Here is a 22,577-nt window from a genome sequence, read left to right on the forward strand (position 1 = left end):
GAAATCCAGAGCCTGCCTCAGCCCGATTGTCTCTCAGCTGACTGTTTGCTTCTAGATGTCAGCAGCTCTTTTAGGAATGCGGAACAGCAGCCTTTTCACAGGCAAGGGTCCAGGTTTGGTTCCTGATCTTTTCCTTTGCATTGTGAAGAGGGAAGGTCATGTGGGCCAAGAGGAAATCAAAGACCAGATTCCTTCCAGACTTCCTTTCCAAAAAAGCTCAAAGGAAAGGTAGAGCTGTAGTCATATGGACAGGACCACTCTTCTCATAAACAAGTCTCAGCTTTCATGGAAGCCAGTCAAACGGGCAGCTGATAGGGAAGCCCCCATTCCAACAGGCCCCAGCTGGTTGGCCTGTCCTGGGTCTGACCAAGTGGGGCCCATGGGAGGCCAGTGGCGTTGGGTGTCATTTCTGACACACAAGCCATACCTACACAAAGAAACCAGCTTAGAGAAAAGGGCTATGAACAGTCAAACAATTGGTTACCGGAAAATCACCAAGACAACTCATGAAAAACAAAATAAATACATGCCTCTAACAAGCTAGTAATCAGTTGCTTTTATGGATTGACTGAATCCCACTGTTTCCTTGCAAAGTGTGAGTGTATTAGGGCCCAGAGCAGGAGGCCAATCCCAGGGAGGCCCAGCAAAGTCATTCAGTGTGTTTGAGATTGATGAAGTCAAACACTTCCCATCAGTGGAGGGATGTGAGGATGGGAGGGAGGAGGCCAAGACCCAGGAAGGGTAGAGCCTTGGCACCTGATGCTGGCAGTGCCTTTGCTGAGATGGGAAGCCGAGGTGAAGTCTGGGGTAAAAGGTGAAAGATCCAGCTGGAGAGCCTATGGGATTGACAAGCCCATGGGTCGTCCTGGAAGAGGGTCAGGGAAGGAGATGGGAAGACAGATCTGGGCTCCAGATGTATATTGGGGATCACCCTTCAGGCATCTCCTCACTGGTCTCCAGGTGGGCCTCAGTGGGAGGTAGGAGGGCAAAGACTGAAGTCCAGGTATGACCACAGTTGGTTTGAATATGGTGCACATATCCAGCAGGCTGTTGTATATATAAGTTGTATATATGTTATATACATATATATAGTTGTTTATATAAGTCTAGAGCTGAGGGAGAGGCAGTGCTTGGAGCCCCAGGGAGTGGCAGTCCCCTCCCCCAACCCCACTCCCTCCTCTGGCACCAGGGTCACCAGGGCCACATGGTAGTTTCTGGTTTCACCAAACTCTTCTCAATCCCTGGAGCTCTATGCTGGGGGCTTCTGGGCTTCCCTGGGGGGCTTTTCTGAGGACCTCTAGCCACTTGCCCTTAGTGGGGACTGGGGGGACCCTGACAGGTCAGACTCTGCTGATGTGTCCTCATTCTCTGGCTCCATTCTAGTCTTGTGGAGGTGTCACTCTCCAAGGCCCACCCTCAGCCCCAGCAGACCTCTGCCTCCCCAGTGGCTCCCGCTCCTCTTGGCCCTCTATGGCAGTGATGACAATGATGGCCCTCCATGGCACCTGACGGCAATGGCGAGCTCGGCGGCGGGGAGGGGACAGCCTGGACTGCATGCTGTGTCTCTGCAGTGCATCCCCACTGTGCTGGGGACACAGAACCACCCACATCTGTGCTGTGGCAGGGCAGGGTTCTGCCCCCAGAGCCCAGGGTCATATCAGTCCCTTGTATGTCTTAGCCAGGCCAGGGACGTGCCTATGGGTCTGTGACTGATCTCTCACCTGTTCTCTTTAGAGAGTGGCCCCGCAAGAGGAGCAGCTGAGAAAGGCACCAGCCTGCAAATGGCAGAGCCCTCCAGCTTGTGGGCAGGAGGCCACTCCTTCGAAGGGCTATGGGAGACAGATAGACATTCAGGCAGGAGTCCCAAAGGAACTCAGAGCCCAGGCCCCATCCCTGCATCTCCCTGACAGCCTGGGAAGGAGGGAGGGAGGGAGAAACAGAGGGAAGGAGGGAGGGAGAGAAGGAGGGAGAGAGGGATGGAAAGAAAGGGGAAGAGAGGGAGGGGGGATGGAGGGAGGGGGAGAGAGGGGGAAGGAGGGAAGGAGGTCCATGGTTCCCCTGAGCATCCACTGGGAAAGCCCCATCAGCCACCACTGGGGCCGAGGCCGCTGTTTCTGAGATGTGTCTTGTGCTCCCGGGGACAGTGTGCACCCATGGGGCAGATGCCACCTTCACCAGGTGAATTTGCAGAAGGACTCAGAGTCACCCAAACCAGGTGGGACATTTTCCCACTCTGACCCCAGCATTATACTGGTTCCTTCTGAGGATCTTGGACGGGGCTGCTGGGTCCTCCAGAGCCCAGGGCACCTGGGGAGGCCCTGCTGAGAGCCCCAGCTGAGGACTCAGGGACCGCCCCCGCCCCGGGGCCTTGACTTGCAAGGGACCTCGGGCACAGCCCTGCCTCCTGTGGGCCTGGATCTCCCCACCTGTCAGCACTTTGTGCTGGGGGCCTGCCTGACCCGAGAGGCCCTGCCTGTCTTTCCCACAGGCTCCCAGAGACTGACCGGCTTAAGGCTCGAGGCGTGCCAGGGCCCCCGGAGTCACCCTGCATCAGCTCTTGCCGCCTGCTGCCTGGGCACGGGAGACCACACTGGTGGAGGGGATGAGACAGGGCAGGCCCAGCCTTGGGACACCCCTGTCCCCACAGCTCCAGTGACTGGGTGCTTCCCCCAGCCCTGCAGAGCAGCCTGCCCCACTGCAGACAGTGCTGGTCCAGGGAGGTCCTCACAGGACAACCAGAGTTGTGATGCGGGTGATGATCAGAAGCTGTGAGTGTGGAGGAGGCAGGTTCTCTCTGTCTAGCCATTGTACAGATGAGGAAACGGTGGCCCAACGCCACACAGTGCCCAGCAGGGGTGGCCCCAGGAGCCAGTATTCCAGTTCAGGCTTGACTGACCTCATAACCCCCAAACTGGCTCATGCTGCCTCCCGGCTATGCTCTAAGATCCCCAAAGGGGAGGCCCTCACTAGACCCCCATCCTGTCCAATGCCCAGCACTGTGCCAGGCAGAAAAGTGACAAACAGTTGGCATCTCTTAAAGGGTGGTCCAGCCGAAGGAGCTGCCCACCCAGCTAGAGAGGGAGCAGCACCCTGTCCAGGTCTGTCCTGATGAATGGGGCCTGTATGAGGGAGGCCTGTTTCTGCAAAGAGGCTGTCCTTTGCCAGCCCTGCACACCCTCCCACTCAAACCTGTTGCTCTCTGCAGCAGTGGCTGACTTGAGACTCAGTGTTCTCTGTTCTTTCAGGGCAAATAAAGCTGACGTGTTGGCCTCCAGCTCTGTGAGGGAGGGAAGAGGTACCTTGGGCTCCCAGCTCCTGCCCACACACAGTAGACCTGGGGGCTGGGTTTCCTCCCCAGAGGAACACTGGTCCCCACTGAACCACATGTGAAACCTTGGCATTGTTGACTAAATTATGGCAGAGGGATAGGGCAGTTTGGGTCGGGTGGGAGAGGAGCTGGGGAGATAGGGAGGAGTGTTCATGGGGGTGGGGTGAGGAGAGGCGGAGAGGGGTGCCTTCCATGTCTTCTAAGGGATGTCTTCAATGTCTGCTGTGTGGACACGGGAGACCACACTCGTGGAGAGGATGAGACGGGGCAGGCCCAGCCTTTTGGGACATCCCTGTTTCCCCACCTCCAGTCCCAGCTCCAGTGACAGAGTGCTCCCCAGCAAGGGGGACGATAAAGGGTACTAACCCAGCTTGTCCTTCCCCAGGACAACAGCAGTCTATGCACACCTCAGAGAGCCCAGGAGACCACAGCCCCTTGCAGACAACCCACTGTGGGCTCCTGAGAGTTTGTCCCTGGGCAGACATCATCCTTTGCTTAGGTGATGGTAGCTTGTTTTTTGCCTCTTGTTCATTTTATTTTTAGACCCACTTGGCCAGCCTGTCTCCCAGCCTTTGCAGAATGTGAGCGTGCCCAGAGAAAGTGGTGGGCACATTAGTGAGGCGGGCAGGAAGACGGGTACACTGAGGGGCTGTGAGGACAGCTGATAAAATGTTTGCTTAGCTTCATCTATTTATTAGCATGGTTAGAAACTGCTATTTATATTTTAACCCTTCAGAGACAGTCGTGAATCTCTGGATAAAAAGAGTTGGTTGATTTCCAGCCTGGAAAGTGAGAAATAATCAATAGTCACAGATCTGGTCAGGACTGCCAAGGGCGGGAGCCTGCTGGGGTGTGGCCCCCACCCGTTGGTCTGAGATGCCCAAGAGTGGCTGCCAGGAATGGTGGGCATCACCATGCTCACGCCACACCACCCCCTCAGCTTACATGGTCTCACTCAGCTACTCACGTGGCCATTGGTGCTGTTTATGTGAGGATCAATATAAGCAAAGTGCAGAAAATGCTCATGGAAACTGTGGCTGGCAAATCGTGATAGGGTTTCACACCTGGGAAAATGGAGACTCCTCCCCCGACCCTCCACAACTGTGGGAAGTGCTGGGAGCCATGCGGGGAGTGGCCAAGCTGCAATAAGAACCAGGGCCAAGGTTCCTTCCCCTATGTAGAAGATAAAGTTGAAGGGAAAGGAGGGGGTGGGGGGAGGGTGGGAGGGGTGCAGAAGCTCCCTCTCCTGTTTTCCCACCACCAGGAAGTATCCATGGGGAATGATGCACCCTGCCTCTTCTCAGGGTGGTGTCCCACTTCTGAGCAGGTACAGACCACCCTGTCACAGCTTTTTCTTTGCAGCTGCTCATGCCAAGGTCGGGTTGGTTAGAGGCCCCTGTGGAGTTATGGGGGGTGGTGATCAGATGAGCCTCTCTTTGAGGGAGAGCCACTCCAGCTCAAATCCACTCTGATCCTGCCACTGCCTCCCCAGAGGGCTGGCAGGTGTGACTGAAGTCACCAAGGGGTCAGGCTGTGGTGCCCATGCTCAGGGAGGGACTTGGGGCCTGGCATGTGTATGAACCTGGCAAGTGTTTTTGGGAGCGAACTGAGAAATTTCCTAATATTAATATGTTTCCACTACAAGCTGTTTGCATCTCAGATGCCCTTGTATTTAGTCTGCTGTAATGGTGATGTTTTGGAACACTTATCAACAAGCATTTTGACAATTTGCTGTGGTTTTAGGAGCACTGGCTCCTGTCTTTGCAGCTTATTAATGGGAGACAGTTTAAGCATATGTGTAGACATAACTGAGTTCTTCCTGGAGCAAAACCGAAGTGCAAGCATCTCAGAATTTAACTGGAAATAAAGCAACCCAAATCTGTCTCCTGTCCCATGAGATCACTTAACCTTGCAAAAGGGACCAAGCAATGTGCATTTCAGTTCCTGATGGGGTTTTCCTGTGGGGTCTGAAGACTCTAGTGGTCTCCTTTCCTATGAATTTATGGCATCAAGCCTCCATCTACTAAGTCTAATCCTCAGTGTAGGTGAGAGGGAAATGAAAGGGCACCAGCCTGGCAGACGTGAAGGCCAACGCACCCCTGGCCTGCTCTGCACAGCCCCAGCCCAGCCTTCCCTGGCACCTGATTGGAGCTCAGGTTTAGTGCAATTAACAGCTCAAGCCCATAGCTCATGTCTAAATTTACATTCATCATAATCCAAAAGCAAACATGTGCCTTTGATAGCTCTGATTTATTCATAGGATCAGTTTGCTGTTCACGTCTTAATTGTTTTTTTAATAGCTTCGCGGTAGAAAATCAAAGCCTGATGAGTTTTGTATTATACAAACTTATTTTCTTGCTTTTTTTTGTTTTTCAGTTTTTAAAACTTAAAATATCTAATTAATCCGTGTAATCTGGATACATTCTGTTTAAACCTTTCATGCTCATATAAAATAATGATGCAAATGTAGCTAATTGGTATAGCAGGTTTTTTCCTTTTTTTTTTTTTTTTTTTTTGTTTGTTTTTTTGTCTTGCCAGATACATCAGCAAATATATGTTCAGGACAAGAAGGTTGTGAAGCAAGAAAACGAATGAAATCCCAACGATCAGGGGGATGTTAAAGGAGCTTTACTACCCATTGGCAAATGTTAACAAAGATTCCTGGAAAGAAGTTCAGTTAGCACAGCGCTGAGGGGCACTCTTCTTCCTTTGGCCTCCGTTTCACAGAGTACTTGCCTGAGAGGGGCCCCTTCGGGCCCCGTGGCCAGGCAGTGCCCTGATAGCGCCCGCCTTCTCCAAGCCTCACTTGTGCATTGGCAAAGCTTTCTGCAGCCTTAATCCCATCACCTCCTGCCAGCCGTGTTGTGAGCCTGCCTTTCCTCTTAGCATCTCCCTCTTGGCAGACTGGCGAGCGAGTGAGCAAGGGCAATGCTTGTCTGCAGCCACTCAGCTAGTCCATGCAGAAGCCAGGAAGTGATCTTAGAGCTGTCTGACTACAGATCCTTGGCCTCTCCCTCTGTGGTCTGAGGAAAATTCCCCTGACCTCAGCCTTGAGTCACCTCTGAGGTCGAGAGGTCTGCGGAGGCAGAGGAAGGCTGGGACACACCAGTGCACACCAGCTCAGCCATCTCCTGGCTCAGGAGCATCTCTAGAGCTTGCCGACACATCTCAGTTGGCAACCCTGGCCGCCCTCCCCTGCCTCCAGAGCCCCTATCCCTGTCATTCCCCAGCCTTGCCTGCTTAGGCTCAGAACTGAAATCCCAAGAAACAAAGAGGCGATTCAGGTGCAAATATCCCTAATGAATAAAGAAAGGAGATTCACTTGCCAGATTATTTAAGGCAAGTTGTCAAAGCCATTTCTCTTTAGCAAGCACGTTACTTCTGGGGGCGGGGAGTGCGGGGATGGGGGTGAGGGCCTGTAAAGGGCACCAGCCACTCTCCAAAGCCTGTCTTCAGATTCCCTCCTGGAACCAGTACCTGCAAGGAAGAATGGATGAGCAATTTGCAAAACATTACCACTGGCGGAGTGAGGAAAGCTCCTAGGAACAGGTTTATTTGACTAGACTCTGGGCAGACAGATTATAAACTTGCCTTGTCACCAGGAGACTAAAGATGAGGATACGAGACTCCTTGGACGTTTCCCAGCAGGCTGGGTCCCTCCCAGGACTCTGCTGATGTGTCTGCAGGAGGGCTACTGGCAACTCCCTGTGGCCACCACTACCACCACCACCTGCCCAGGGAGCTGCCTTAGGGGTAGTGCCGCTCAGGGTCCCAAGTAATTAGAAGCTGCATTGGACTCAAAGACCTTGTCCTGGTGCTTCTCCACTTTGGCTTAGAAACAGGCTGTGATGGAAAGGAAGACTCACAAGGCTGGGCCTCATTTCCTTTTTGGCCATTCTCACCTCCATTCCAACATCAAGACATTGTGCAGACCCCACATAACAGCAGCTAGCAATATTTTTATCATCTGTTGACTGAGGAACACACAAGGATAAACAGCTGATTTGAGTTTAGCATCGGTCTTCGATGCAACTTTCATTGATCATACTAGCTCCCAGAGACATAGAGCTATGAAAGTTACATCCATCTACAGACAGTGCTTGGTATACACACGGATCCAGGCACTCCTGGCAGTAAGAAAATCACCATCACTGGGCTAAACTCATGGTGTCGGCAGGACCAGGCTCCTTAAAGCTCAGGGGAGAAAACTTCCTTCTCCCTCCAGCTTCTGGTGGCTCTGGGTGCTGCTTGGCTTGTCACTGCATCATTCGCTCCAGTCTCTGCCTCCATCTTCACATGACCCTCTCCCCTGTGTGCCTCTTCTGTCTGTGTCTTCTCTTCTAAGGACACTTGTCATTGCATTTAGGGCCCACTGAGATCATTCGGGATCATCTCATCTTAAGATTCTTACCTTAATTGCATCCGTAAAGACACTTTTTTCAAATAAGTTCACACACCCTTGCTCATAAGCCTTTAAAGGCTCTCTGCTGCCTCTGAGATGCTGCCTGAGCTGCTCCATCTGGCACTCAACACTCCCCAGTCAGACCCCAGCCCTCCTCTGCAGCCCTCCTCTCTCTGCACCGCATCCTCCTCACACACATCTCTATCCTAACCTGGCCGCTTTGCTCCTCCAGCATACCCTGACTTCTCCTGCCCCTATGCCTCTATTCTTTCTTCCTCGCATAGAATACTCTTCCACACCTACCAGCCTCCTTTTCACTCTTCCAGGCTCAGCTCAAACCCTACTACCTCTGAGAAGCCTTCCCAGTCTGGCCGTGCTGAGAATGACTCCCTCCCTCTGCATGGTTCTTTCCAGAGGATTCATATCCAGATCACGGCCAACCCTGCGGCAAACTCACCTAATTAGGACTTCCTTTCTCCCTTGAGGGGATGGGGTTTTACTTTCCCTGGGATCTCTGACACCTTGTACACGATAGGGTATACAATGGATTTTTGTTGAATGGAAGTGGAGGCGATTTGTGCATCTCTTGTTGCCCCCATTGCTTAGTGGAGAAGAAAATTAACTATGTCCAAGAGGGGAGAAAAGGTACAAAAACGAGCTGAGAGAGAAGGGATTCAGAGTCACCCAGTATGACAGATGGCATTCAGAGATCCTGACTCCTGCCCTGGCCTCTCCCACTTCCCTCTACTACAGTTTAGAATCCCTAGGGCACCCCTTTGCCTCCTGCAGCACTTTGAAGGCCTGAAGTTGCCCTTGGCATAGACACTTGGGGTTCAGACTGTTGACATGTAACATGAGTGCAGATCTTGTTCAGATTGCCACAGCCTTTGCAGATGTCCCTGAAGTCCCCTTCCCACTTCTTCCTTGCTTTTTGCCAAGGGTAGACCTCTTCCTTTTGGCTCCTCTGGCTGTTGGGAAAGTAAGGCTGGTCCTTTCTGTCTGGACCTCATGCCCACAGCTAGAGGCCGCACCCAACCCCAACTAAGCAACACCTCTGGAGTCTGTCCCCAGAACCTCCCTGACTTGCCCCCACCACCCCAGGATGCATGGCCCCCAGGCAGCCATTCACTCTGCTCACTCAGGGACTTGCTCTCTTTGTCCACAGTTTCTTTTTGACTTCCTAGGCTCTTCACACCTGCCTCCATTGGAGTACCAGCTCAAGGGCTCCATCCTGCAGCCACTATGGAGGGGGGGAGGGGTGGGCAGAGCATGAACTGTAACATCAGCCCTGGGTTCACATCCCAGCCCTCTGCTTTTTGCTAGTTGTGACCTGCTTTGAGCCTCATTTCCCGATGGACACATTCATTCACTTATTCAGAAAAAGGAGAAGGAAGGAAGGAAGAGAGAGAGAGAGAGAGAGAGAGAGAAAAAGAAGGGAAAGAAGAAAGAGAGAGAGAAGGAAAGAAGAAAGAAAGAAAAAGAAAGAAAGAAAAAAAGAAAAAGAAAGAAAGAAAGAAAAAGAAAAAGAAAGAAAGGAAAAGAAAAGAGAAAAGAAAAGAAAAAAGATCTTTATGGAGCACCTACCAGGTACCACACCTACGGTGTGCTAGACATCAGCAGCAGCAGCAGTGTAACAGTGCAAAGGACAAAATCCCTGCCCTCAAGGGGCTCCCCTTCTGGTGAGGTGCTAGCCATGTGAATAAGCAGACTAGAATGGGACAGAGGGTACAGGGTTGTGCCATGCCCTGTGCTCTGATGTGACTACTGGGCTCCTCAACAACTCCCACTGTCAAGCATTATATTCCAAGAGCACAGTGAAGGGTTAGGGACTAGAGAATTCTTACTTGCAATAAAAAGTCATTTTCCCTGCAAGGATTTCAATAAGAGAGATTTTTGGGAAAAAATAATAGCTATGGGTGTATTTGGCCATTGCAAAAGATAATCAGCTGCTCCAAATGCATAGAACAGCCTTAAGTACCACAGGACCTGCCTTCAACAGCAAATACAGCCACAGTCAAGTTTGTGTGCCCTCGAGTTTAATATGGTGTGATTGATAAACTGCACATAATTTAATAGTTTTTCAGGAAGAAAGAGAGAATCAGCAACATGGCATTGAAGGTACCCGTTGACAGTGACGTGCATCACAGCATTAACAGGTGAGGAAAGCATGCGGCTCTGAAAACCCTCTCCTTGCAGCCCAGCTCACGACCCACAAAGGCCTGCGGTGAGGCCAGTCACTCTGCTAGCACAGCCAGTTTGTCTGTCAGTCACAGGCAACAGTCTTCCTCCTGCCCCCTCCCTGCCCCCATAGCCCCAGTTCCCAACTCTGATCATGTTATAACCAAGAGCAAAATGTGATGCTTCTCTGTTCTGGCAGGAGAAATGCTTGTGTGTGCAAATGGGAGACAAAGGAAAGGGACCACCACATCCATGGAGTGCACCGCGTGAGAGAAATGCTCAGGAAGGGAATTGACCAGATTGGCTGTGGAGAGAAAAGAGAAGGAACATGGGAGGCAGAGGTATACCCAGGCTTCTGGCAGGTTACGGAGACCTGTACCCAGGAAAGAAACAACAGTCGGCAGGGGAGCTCCAGGTCTGGATCCGCCTTGAGCAGGGATCATTGTGTGTGCCTGAAGCTCCGTTTTCCATGGCCAGCTCTATTATGAGGGCTCAGGGGAGCTGGGTTAGGCTAGCCATGTCCCATTCCTGAAAGGCCAGCTCTGGGTCAGAAATGTGACCTCTCTCTCCTAAAGCCCCAGAGACTGAGTGCTCCTTGTGCATCTCCCTAAATCCTGTTGTTTGTCCAGGCTCTAGCTGGGTCCCCCTTAGCAGCCCGCTCAGCAAGGCAGGCCTGGAGTCCCACCACTGGGGCTTCTCTCTCAGTTGGTTCCACCTCTCCTAGCTGAGCAACCAGGCTTTCACTGCTGAATGTCTGAGCCAGCTCCATCGTACAACAGGAGTGAGGGAAGTACCTGCTTCACAAGGTTGTCATAGCCATCAAATGGGATCACACTCTAAAGGCAGGTAGGGCAGTGCCTGCATGGCACTTGGTGGATGGTCAATAAGACTTTATCCTTCTTCCTTCATCTTCCTCTTCCTCCTTCCTGTTTCCCCTCCTCTCCTTGGTATTGTTGCTATTTTGTATTGGTTTCTGTGCCTACTGTAACAAATTACCATAAACTTCGTGGCTTAAAACAGTGACAACTTATTCACTGATGCAGAAATGTATTTATTCATTTATTCTCCAACAGTTCTGGAGGCCAGAAATCAGAAATCAAGGTGTCAGCAGTTCCAAGCTCCCTGCGAAGGCTCTAGGGGATAATCCTTCCTTGCTTCTTCCAGCTTCTGGTGGATCCAGGTGTTCCTTTGGCTTGTGGCCGTATCACTCCAACCTCTGGCTCCATCTTCACCCTTACCTACTTCCCTGTGTATCTTGAATCTCCTGCCACTCTCTTATAATGACACGTCATTGGATTTAGTGCCTATTTGGATAATCTGGGATGGTATCTCAAGATCCTTAATTACATCTGCAAAGACCTTTTGCCAAATAAGGTCATATTCACAGGTGCCAGGTAGACATATCTTTGTGGGGCCACCATTCAATATACTACAGTATGAATATTAGGTTTTCTTGTCAACCCCAGATTCTCAGGCCCAGCCACCTGCATTTTCCCTGAGCTGAGCCTCTTCAGAACACTCATGGAGCTACGTGCCTATGGCCACAGTGGGAAGCAAGACCACAGCTTGTATCAGGTCTCCAGAACTTGTGGCACAGGGCCTTGGCCATCAGGTGACCCAAGCCTTTTACTGGCCTAGCAGGGGAAACTAAGCACCGCCCCCTGTTCCCACGCAGGAGACAGTAAGTCTCATGCTCTTTCCTGCTTGCTTTCAGCAGGTATCTAGAGGGCATCTCCCATAGGTCCAGCCCAGCCTGACTGCTGGGACACAGTGTTATTAATTAATTAATAACCAAAACCTCCTAGGCATCTCCCTGGCAGCCCCAAGGCCATCTTCCTGCCCCTGCCCTCAGGGCTCCACAGGCTTTGCTAAGGGCATGCAAACAGGCTCTCCCATTGCCGAGTGGACTGGGGCCACAGTGGGCCCTAAAGCACAGAGGGTGGGAAGAGCTTATCCTAGCCTTGGAGCTAAAGTCCTGGATTCAAATCCTGAGGACCATGTCTGTCACCTTAGACCATGCCCTCAAGGTAAAATAGCAGCTGTGAGCCCTGATGAGGTTGTGAAGCCCATACAGGGAGGGGAGTGCAAGCATTTTACAACCTGCAAAGGGCCATGCAGGAGACAGTCTTAAGAGATGCCAGGCCACTCTTCCCACCTGCATAGCCTAGGGGCTGGGATTGACCTTTCTCCTGCATCAGACAGGACAAACAAATGCCCCCCATGCTGGGAAAAGCCAGGACTCTGAGAGAAAGGCAGACCTTGAGGGCGGGGATGGGAGGATGCCCGTGCAAAGCTTAGCCCCCCTCCTCACACTTTTCTAAGAACGCAGTGATGGAACAGAACAAGAGAAAGACCATGTCTTTCACCAAAGGGGGGAGGGGACAACCCAGTGACCAATTTCAGTGATTAGCTGCAAGAAGAGGGTCCTTTATTCCAGGCGTGTGTATGCCTTTTAATTTCCTCTTGTGGGCTCCTGAGGGGGCCCAGTAACCGTGCAATTGGTATTCCTCTCCAGCCTTGGAGGATGCGGGCACTCTCTCGGAGATGGCTCCAGGTGGCACAGAGTGCCACCTGCACTCCCAGCTTCCCGATTAACTACTCTGCAGCAGACCTCCACAGGGCGATGAAGGGGAGGTGATAAGCTGGCCCAGCTCTGCCCTGGAGCCCAGGTGGGTCTTCTCCCGCCCGGAGGCAGCAGCGGCAGCATTAGGGAGGTGCGAGTTGACCCTACCTCCTACCTGCTTTGTGCTAAACCAAAACAAAAACCGGTGTCAAAGGGGCTTGGCCCCCTTCAGCAATTGAAGGCATAGAAGTTACACACCGGGCCAATTAGGGAGTGGAAATTTGCATTACAAGAAGACCCTTTGCTTCACAAAAGTAGTTCTCATAAGATTGCAATAGATGGCACCCAGGGGGGTTAAAGATTCAATTTTCAAAACCGAGTTTTGCCCACAACTCTTTCGCAGCACGTTCTGTTGTGGAAAACCAGTCTCCAGACTGACTTTTGACCAGCCTTCCAGCCCCAAGATTTGTTGTTTACCAAAGGATACATGCCATCCTTATACTATCTCATACTCAACCCCCTTCTTTGCTATGCCCGGGGCAATTGCTCCAAAACAGATATGGCTCCTCCCAGGCTGGCACCTGGCTCCCGGAGGTAGTCACAGTGGACAAGTATCTAGGCCTGGGGTGGAGAGTACGAGCTAGACCTGAGTCCCAGTCCTGCTGAGCCATCTCAAGTTGCAGGGCCTGTCCCCTCTTTCAGGCCTGAGTGTCCACATTTATAGAACAAGGGAAGGTTGATAGAAGAATCTCCCAAAGTGTTTTTCATTCTAGGAGTTCATTCCTAGGCATTGCTGGGTGGCCCTGGGGATACTCTTGACCTATGAAGTAAGATAGGGACATTGCCTTAGATAACGCCAATAATAATACACAGGGGAAAATCCAAATGCCTGCGTGCAAGTACTTTAGCCCTTGTACCATTTACAGATGCTGAAGGTGCAGCGGTGGGGATGGCCTGTGTCCCTACAGAAAGCACATCTTACAAGTCACACGCCTCACCATCTAAGTGCTCAGCTTTCTGAAACCTGCTCATTCAGAACATATGAACCTCATGCTGTGGTATTCCAGGTCTCAGCTTGGCAAGCTCAATGATGTTTTCATTCCAATCAGTGCTGAATACAAACAGACCCTTATCCCTAAATTGTGAAATTTAGAGAAAAGTAGAGTCTCAAGGTGCAAAATTTGAACCTCACAAAATTTAACTAAACCGAAGTTTGGGATATAGTAAGAGCTCAAGGAAATGGCTTCTAATTGCTCATTGGGAATAGATTTTTGAGATTAAAACAAATTTTTCAAACCTGTCCAGACTCAGAGGCTTGGGAGTGAACAGTTGTCACTTAACTTTATGGCAGTGGTGGCTGGAAGCTCGCCCACCCTGATTCTTTGTTCTCCCTCCCATAATTGCTCAAACTGAGAGGTCTGTAGGCACCTTAAGGATTCAAAGTGATTTGTGAAAGTTGTAAAGTCCAAGCCTCAACTAGAGAGTTGTTCTTGGAGGTAGGAAGTTTGAGGGACTTAAAATGAACTGGGGGGAAAAAGGCAACAGAGGAAGAGTGAGAACAGAGAGAGAGAAAGGCTCAGAGGAAGGAAGATAGGGGAGGGGGGGAGAGAAGGAGAGAGAGAACGTGAACATTTCCTGGTGATTTTAATTTTCACATCACAAAACACCGCACGTCTGTCAACCGTTATATTTCCTGTGCAGCCTTCTGTGACCACATGGAGTACCTCAGGGAGGGAAGAAAATAGAATTCATTCCTTTCTACCCCCAGCCTGATCTGCCCACAGCTGTTTGGGCACAAAGGAAGGAGGGTAGAGCTCTGGAAAATTGCCAAGAGCGCCTCCTCTCTCCAAGGGGAATGACCAATTTTCACCGCCACTGGAAGGGTGTGAGCTGTCCCAAACTGCCCTCTGGGATTATGCTTACTCGGTTCCACAGGAACATTTAGAGAGACAGAGGTTGCCTTGGGTTATCAGGGCCACAGGCTTCCTGGGTCTGCTTTTGGCACCTAGGATTCCATGAAGAGGGACTGACAGAACCTGAGAGCTGAAAAGCACCTCAAGAAGTCATCGGTCCAGTCTTGCCTCTAAGGACTCTCCATCTCAATCAGCAGGACCCTCACCCAGTCAGCAATGGATCAAACGTCCCAGCTTCTGGGGCCAAAGACAGGCCTCTGCCTCCATGCTCCTAGTCCCTTCCTTGAAGCGGTCGGATAATCACATGACGAGCCTCAAGCAAGGGACTTCAAGCTGGTGGCTTCCAGCAGCTAGCTTCCTGCTTCCGAACCATCATTGCCTCCTATTGAAGTCCTCCCATCCTCCACTCCCACATCTATCCAGGCCCTGGGAAACTTTGCCAAGAAGCAGATGATGGCGTCTGCCTTTGCCTGGGTGATGAGATGACTGGCTTCTGTCCCAGTTCTGCCACTCACCAGATGGATCAGTTTCTCATTGCTGTTATAACAAATTACCACCAACATAGTGGCTTAAAACAATGCAAATTTACTATTATACTTTTGGAGGTCAGAGGTCCAAAACAAATCAGTTTCACTGGCCTAAAATCAAGGTGTCAACAGGGCTGGATGCTTTTGGAGGCTCTGAGGGGAGAATCCATTACTTTGCCTTTTTCAGGTTGGCCACCTGTATTCCTTGGCTCATCACCCCCTCCTCCATCTTCAAAGCACATCGTTTCAATCTCTTTCTTAAGGTATCTTGCGGAGGAGGTCCCAGAGGCACCAAAGGGGTGACAAGCACAGATTGCTTTAACTGCTACTCAGAGAATGACTCTGCGCCAAGCCCTGTGCTGAAGGCTTTACACTCACAATCCTTGATATACACATGGAGCTCTTGTCATCACATCCCTTTTTCTTCTGTCTGTGCCAAATCTCCTTCTGCCTTCCTCTTATAAGGACACTTGTGATTGCATTCACAGCCTTCCCAGATAATCTAGGACAACCTTCTCACTTCAAGATCCTTAACTTAATTACATACACAAAGTCCCTTTTGCCATATAAAGTCATATTCACAGGTTCCAGGGGTTAGGATGTGGACATCTTTGTGGGCCATTATTTAGCCTACCATACCAGTAATAGGTCTTTGGCAAGTAAAGTCACCTCACCTCTCTGAACCTTACTTTCCTCATTTGTTCAGAGGGGAGAAGACTCCTGCCCTGCTGACTTCCTGGGCGCCCTAGGAGGTTCCAGTAAGAGAGTGAATGTGATGACATTGTATGCTGTTGAGTGAACACCAGAATAAGTGCTGAGCCTGGTTCTTGTTGCCCTTCTTATGAAGCTGTGGTCCCCTCAGTTCAGTCACCCAGTGCTATCTTCCTCTCTGGAGCCTTTCCTCTGTGGCCTTTTCCAGGCATGTCTTGATGAATGTACTCCAAGTTAAATGTGTCACTAAGCCAACTGGCTCCTCCTACCCTCTCCCAATGATTGAGCGTATAGAGTGGCTATGCTGACTTTGGATCCCAGGCACTGGCAAGTGAACACCTTAGTTGGTTAAAATATCCCTTCCCACTCTGCTGTGTTATGGTTTCAGTGAGACCCATGTGTATATGAAGAAGATTGTGAGTGTAGAGCCCTCAGCACAGGGCTTGGCACAGAGTTGTTGTTCTCTGAGTGGCAGTTAAAAATGTCTGTGCTTGTTGCCCCTTTTGGTGCCTCTGGGACCATCCTTTACCCCCTCCTCTGCAAGATACCTTAAGACCACAGCTAGCAGTCACAGCAGCAAGTGCAAGCACCTTTTGACATTTATGCCATCCTGGCCCTCTGCCAGTTGCTATCCATATCACTTTGGTTGGCCAAGCCCCATTGTCAGCCTCAGCTGGCCAGCATTCTTGGAGACAGGTCACAGTTTGTTCAACAGCTGATAAGAGGTGTGTAAGGGGCATCAAAGGCTCTGAATGGAGAGGTGGAAAAAGCCCCTGGGTGCATGGCCCTGGATGACTCTTGGGGTTTAGAAGAGACCACGGAGATGACCAATGACCAACAAGCTTTCAAAGGGAAATGCTTGCCTCTACCAAACTCAGGGGAAGTCATATCTTCTATCACCCCGGCGGGGGGCTTCAGTTAAGCTTGTGAGAAGCTGAGAGCAGAAAGACCTTTTCTGAACCTGATGTTCCCACCCCTCATCATGCCACTGTGGAGACAGGATCTACAGGGAACAGGGAGAACTTGGCCATTATTTCCCAAGACAGCCAGGCTGGCAGCTTCCACTACAGGTGCTGCTCTTCTCATTCCTGATCTTCTGAGCACACCATCATTCCCCAGGGCCTTCCACAGCCATCTTCTCTGCTGGGGTGTCCCATAACCTTTTTATGAGTCCCAGATGACCTTGATTCCAAAACCTGACAAGGATATTGCAAGAAATGAACATTATAGACCAATTCCTCTCATGAACATAGTTCCACAAACTCTTAAGATATTAGCAAACCAAATCCAATACATATACACATACAATATTTATTGTTACATTTATATATATACATATAACATATACATACATGAATATAAATACATATCTCCCTTCCCTTTCCATTAATATGTATGTGCATATATATATATATATGTATGTCCAGTCATATATATTCATATATGTTCATTGTCCCATTCATGTGTGTATGTGCAGACAGAGAGGACTTCATCTTCATAGTTCTTCTGGTATTTTCAGGGTTCACCTCCCAAATAAATTATTTGTACTCCAATTCCTGACCTAGTATCAGCTTCTGGGGAAATACAATCTAATTCAACAACTAATTAAGGTTTATTGTAGGCATGTGAGATGTGAGGGTGGTTAACTATTTAGAAAATCAACCAATTGGATTAATCTTATTAACAAAGAAAAAGGAGGAAGTCATACAATCATTTGAATTGGTGCAGAAAAGCATTTGAGAACATTCAACAGCCATCCTTAATAAAACACCAAAAAACAAACAAAAATCTCTTAGAAAACTAAGAAGGGAACTTTCTTTCTTTCTTTCTTTCTTTCTTTCTTTCTTTCTTTCTTTCTTTCTTTTTAGTACAAACTTAGGGCTCTTTATTCAGGTAGTAAAGTAAGGAACAGCAAAGTGGGAGGGCTACACCATCACCATGGCAACAGAAAGCCTCAAAAACATAAAGTCCCTCGACTTATGTCGGGTAGACTCTTCCTAGCTCAGGAGAAACACATTTTAACTGGCTGAGGACAAGGCCAGGCAGCCTGGCCTCACTGTGGAAGGGCAGCTGGACGCATGGCCTCTGGTCAATCCTGGAAGTGCTTGGTGAGGGCTTCCAGCAGCTCCTGCTTCTTCAGCCCACTCTTCAGCCCGTAAGCCCGGCAGGCCTCTTTCAACATGGGCACAGTGAACTTGCCCAGCGTGCCCTTGCTAATGTGGGTCTTCAGCTCCTCTTCTGAATACTCCACCTTGGGCCTTTTGCTTCCAGAACCTTCATTATCATGTTTTCTCTTGGTAACTTTCCCTTCAAGATTGTAATCTGGTGGGTGAACAAGCTCCTTAAACTCATCCACCAGGGAGCCCAGTCTTCTATTTATTGCTTCAACCTTGGGCAATGTCAGGTCCACTGCTTGTTCTGGCTCCATCAAATCCAAGGCCAAGGCCTCCAGGTTCCTGAAGTGCTGCTGCAGCACGGGGTTCTCAAAGCTGTCACTTCTGTACGTGAAGCGAAGCTTCTCAATGATAGCCTTCATCTTGTCCACCTGCTCTGGAGTTGCCGTGACTTTTTCAGTAAAGGGCATCTTCCTTTTATCATCAGCAAAGGGTAAAAAGACCAGCTGGAAGCCCGGAGGAGTCACCTGAATTTTCTGGTCATCCAACACTTCTTCCTGTGTCACCAAAGCCACAAAATAAGGGGGGATGTTCCTGCGGGGTGTGTATCTGCACAATGCTGCAACCTCCTTCTCCAGACACTTGATGAGCAGAGCACTGAACAGGGTTGAGCTCCCAATCACCAGCGACTCCTCTGGGTACACAGACAGGGAGGGCCTCAGGTAATGGCGTTTCTTCAGCAGTACCAATGGCTTGAAACCCATGAGCATCAAACCTGGATCATCAAACCGTTTTAGCTCTTCTGTTTCCTCTTTCTCCAGTATAATCTGACGACTCCCATAGATCTGAGACCACTTGGTATCGCTAGGCAGAAGCAAATCGTCTGTACTTGTATTAAAGGTCCGGGTCTTGGTTTTCACTGGTTCATTTATTTCCCTATAGAGCTTTATTGGAGGAGGCTTGAGAGCCTTCTGGACCAGATTATAAATGCCCACAGAGATCACTATATCTTTGTTGAGCTTCAGCTTTAACCTGCTGAGTGCTCGCTTCCTGGTCTCTTTGGCGTGAACCTTCTGCAACAGGTCTTCTAGCTTGCTGGATTCCTCAAAGTGAACCCTGAGGTCCTCATCCTCTGCTATGCTGATGATATCTCTGTAGAACAAGGATATGTCAAAGCCTCCAGGTTTCTTCAGATGCATCAAGTCAAGGAAGATGCCTGTATCTCGGAGATCACCGGCTTTGGTCCTGGCCTGGCTGGCTTTGGCACTCTCATTGCCATGGGGGTTGTCTTCATTGGTGAAGAGCGTGATCTTCGTATGACTCATCTTGAATTGGACATCACTAAAGAGGTTGGCACAGACCCACAGCACTTCACTGAGTGAGTAGTCAGATCCATGGCCCATCAGGTCTTGGAAACGTTTTTGTCCCTGCTGCCCCTTAAACTGGTCAAGCTCTAGAATTCATTTTGCACCTGGATTATCCAGCTCCTATAAGACATAAATATTTTTAAAATTCACTGAATTTTTGTCTTTCTCGGTACCGTAGAACACCACAGCCAAGAGATCTCGATCACTGCTTATGATCTTACTGATGTACACACTTTGAATACACTGGATGCTCATGTCAAAAGGTGTCAATTCATCTTCACTAGGAGATTCAAACATAGCCTTGGAGGCATCAACCAAAAAAATCAAACTATCTCTTTCTGAATATTTATAGTCTCCTCTTGCTTCAAGGTTCTCTTCTTGTTCTTCTTCAGCTTCTTCACTGCCCTCGGTTTTGTAATATGACTCCCACCCTGACAAGTTGGCTACTGCTTACTTTGGCTAAGAAGGGAACTTTCTGATCTGATAAGGAGAAGTCACACACAAAAAAACCCTACAGCAGCCATCGTAATTAACAGTGAAGTATTAAAATCCTTCGTCATAGATTGAGAATGAGAAAGCGTTTCCTACTATTACCACTTCTGTTTCATGTTATATCAGAGGTCCAATGTAGTTCAATAATCTAAGGAAATGGGAGAAAAGCATAAGGATCAGAATAGAATACATAAATCTATTATTCACAAACTACATGATTGGGTCCATAAGAAATCCAATAAAATCCATAGACAAACTATTAGAATTAATAAGTGAATTTAGCAAGGCAGTGGGATACAAAGTAAACATATTTAAAAATCATTTGCATTTTATATATTAGCAACAAAAAGACAAAATAAATTTATAAAAGATTTCATTTATAATAACATCAGAAAACACCAAATACCTAGAAATAAATCTAAGGTGTGCAAGATCTCTACACTGAAAACAAGAAAACACTGAAAGAAATTAAAGAAAATCTAAATAAAAGGAGGGATGTGCTATTAGTCATGTATTGGAAGACTAAATACTGTAAAGATCTCAATTTTCTCCAAGTTAATACATAGATTTGACACAATCCCAATAAAAATTCAAGCAGGCTTAAAAAAACTTTTAATACTAACAGATATTAAGAATGCTGTAATAAATAAGACAGTATGATATTGGTGCAAGGACATTCAATTTGAAAATGTAACAGAATAGAGTTCAGAAATGGACCCACATATATATGGTCACTTGCTTTATGAAAAAAAATTACATTTTCATAAATTATTGTGGGTCAATTGAATATCACATAGAAAAAAATATATCGTGACTCCTAGTTCATATCATACACCCAAACCAATTCTAGGTGATGTGTAAAAGGTAAAAAGTAAATATTTTATAGAAAACATAGGAGAATATCTTCATGACCTTGAAGTAGGCAAAGACCTTAAATGAGATGCGAAACACATTAATAATATTTTTAAAAATGCATTAGACTACATTAAAATCAACAACTTTTATTTATCAAAAAACATTGAGTGGAAGAAGGTCATCCTTAAGGGGAAGAAGACATTTATAGTATATATTCAGATTCCTTGCCAAATTTTCTATTGGGATTTCTGTCTTTTTCACATTGATTTGTAAAAATTCTTTATATACAATATATATTATGTATTCCAGATAGTTATTTGAGATGTATGTCTCTGGCAGTGCCTCCAGAGACATATATCTTAAAGAACTATTCAAACATGTAAAGAATTCCTACAAATAAAAAAAAGACTGACATCCCAATAGAAAGCTTGGCAAAGGGCCCAAACGAACATTTCTCAAAAGAAGTTATCTAAATGGCCAAAAGATGCTTAACCTCAGGAGTCATCAGAGAAATGCACTTTAAAACCACAATGCAATACCACTACTGTAGTGAATTCTGTAGTGTGCTTCCCAAATTCCTCCTCCACAAATCAGGACTGAAGTACTCATCTCGCTGACTCCTGTAAGTGTCGATTACTGACAGCTCACAGCCTAGTTCCTCCTCCTGCTGGGGAGGTCTGCATCCAATGACTGGTTGATATGAGGTATAAAGGCTCAGTCCCCTGCCCAAATCTGAGGCAATTCTGAAGGGTCATCCCAGCTTCAGAGTTCTCCATGGCACTGGCCAAGGTCTTTGTTATGACTGCATCATGGTCCAACCTCTACGCCTGCCTAATCCTGCTTTCTCCACTTGCTCAAAGATACTGTTCCTAAGAGCACTCCCCAGTAAACTTTCTGCACACTAATATTTATCTTATAGTCCACTTTCCTAGGAACGCAACCCAGGGTGACTACATATCCGCCAGAAAGACTAAAAGAAAAAAGATAGACAATACCATGTGTTGGTGAGGATGTGGACCAACCAGAATGCTCATATATGAATGTAGACTAAGTAGAATGCTCATGTACTGTGGGTAAATTGTACAACGGCTTTGGAAATCACTGTGGCAATATAGCTGTATCTACTATAGCTGAACATACATACATGACCGAACAATTCCACTACTAAGCACTATAACACACAGAAAGACATATATATTCACCAATAGATATGTACACAAATGTTTGTAACAGCATTGCTCGATACAATGCCGTCCAAACTAGAAGCAACTCAAATGCCCATCAAGATTTGAATGGAGCCAGGCACAGTGGCTCACACGCCCATCAAGATTCGAACACAGCCAGGTGCAGTGGTTCACACCTTAATCCCAGCATCTTGAGAGGCCGAGGCAGGAGGATTGCTTGAGCCCGGGAGTTTGAGACCAGTCTGGGCAACATGGCGAGACCCTGTCTCTACAAATAATAATAAAAATATTATCCAGGCATAGTGGCATGTGCCTGACATGTCCCAGCTACTCAGGAAGCTGAGATGGGAGGATTGCTTGAGCCTGGGAAGTCACAGCTGCAGTGAGCCGTGATCATACCACTGCACTGCAACCTGGGTAACAGAGCAACACCCTGTCTAAAAAAAAAAAAAAAAAAGTGGAATGGATAAATAAATTGTGGCATATTCACATACAAATCTCACAAACATAATATTGAGTAAAAGAAGCTGGACATAAAAAGGGAAGTTCTGGCTGGGTGCGGTGGCTCACGCCTGTAATCCCAGCACTTTGGGAGGCCGAGGCGGGTGGATCACGAGGTCAGGAGATCGACACCATCCTGGCTAACACAGTGAAACCCCGTCTCTACTGAAAATACAAAAAAATTAGCCAGGTATGGTGGCGGGCGCCTGTAGTCCCAGCTACTCGGGAGGCTGAGGCAGGAGAATGGTGTGAACCCGAGAGGCAGAGCTTGCAAGTGAGCCGAGATCACTCCACTGCATTCCAGCCTGGGCCACAAAGCGAGACTCCGTCTCAAAAAAACAAAGGGGGGGGGAATTCTGTCTGATTCTGATTCCATCTACGTAAAATATAAAAATAAACAAAACCAGTAGAAATCAGGATAGTGGTTACTATCGTGGGGCAA

The 22,577-nt window shown here is 48.4% G+C and overlaps 1 non-coding gene and 1 pseudogene across 1 annotated transcript, besides 5 other annotated features; one reads left to right on the forward strand and one right to left on the reverse strand.

The window, feature by feature from the left end:
* Positions 3,694 to 4,195: an enhancer, noted in NCBI's record as "H3K4me1 hESC enhancer chrX:149385283-149385784 (GRCh37/hg19 assembly coordinates)". NCBI's record gives its function as "activates a minimal SCP1, AML or CMV promoter by ChIP-STARR-seq in naive H9 embryonic stem cells {active_cell/tissue: H9 hESC(naive)}" and the evidence as "EXISTENCE:reporter gene assay evidence [ECO:0000049][PMID:30033119]".
* Positions 4,196 to 4,695: an enhancer, noted in NCBI's record as "H3K4me1 hESC enhancer chrX:149385785-149386284 (GRCh37/hg19 assembly coordinates)". NCBI's record gives its function as "activates a minimal SCP1, AML or CMV promoter by ChIP-STARR-seq in naive H9 embryonic stem cells {active_cell/tissue: H9 hESC(naive)}" and the evidence as "EXISTENCE:reporter gene assay evidence [ECO:0000049][PMID:30033119]".
* Positions 6,324 to 6,860: an enhancer, noted in NCBI's record as "NANOG-H3K4me1 hESC enhancer chrX:149387913-149388449 (GRCh37/hg19 assembly coordinates)". NCBI's record gives its function as "activates a minimal SCP1, AML or CMV promoter by ChIP-STARR-seq in primed H9 embryonic stem cells {active_cell/tissue: H9 hESC(primed)}" and the evidence as "EXISTENCE:reporter gene assay evidence [ECO:0000049][PMID:30033119]".
* Positions 11,907 to 12,494: an enhancer, noted in NCBI's record as "NANOG-H3K4me1 hESC enhancer chrX:149393501-149394088 (GRCh37/hg19 assembly coordinates)". NCBI's record gives its function as "activates a minimal SCP1, AML or CMV promoter by ChIP-STARR-seq in primed H9 embryonic stem cells {active_cell/tissue: H9 hESC(primed)}" and the evidence as "EXISTENCE:reporter gene assay evidence [ECO:0000049][PMID:30033119]".
* Positions 12,495 to 13,080: an enhancer, noted in NCBI's record as "NANOG-H3K4me1 hESC enhancer chrX:149394089-149394674 (GRCh37/hg19 assembly coordinates)". NCBI's record gives its function as "activates a minimal SCP1, AML or CMV promoter by ChIP-STARR-seq in naive H9 embryonic stem cells {active_cell/tissue: H9 hESC(naive)}" and the evidence as "EXISTENCE:reporter gene assay evidence [ECO:0000049][PMID:30033119]".
* Positions 14,645 to 14,724, forward strand: MIR2114 (microRNA 2114). The gene has a single exon (NR_031748.1). It is a non-coding gene; the product is annotated as a microRNA 2114 (primary transcript).
* Positions 14,725 to 17,479: 2,755 nt separating this feature from the next.
* Positions 17,480 to 19,466, reverse strand: XRCC6P2 (X-ray repair cross complementing 6 pseudogene 2; annotated as a pseudogene).
* Positions 19,467 to 22,577: the final 3,111 nt, after the last annotated feature.

The sequence above is a fragment of the Homo sapiens genome, chromosome X (genome assembly GCF_000001405.40).
Source record: "Homo sapiens chromosome X, GRCh38.p14 Primary Assembly".
Lineage (NCBI taxonomy): Eukaryota > Metazoa > Chordata > Mammalia > Primates > Hominidae > Homo > Homo sapiens.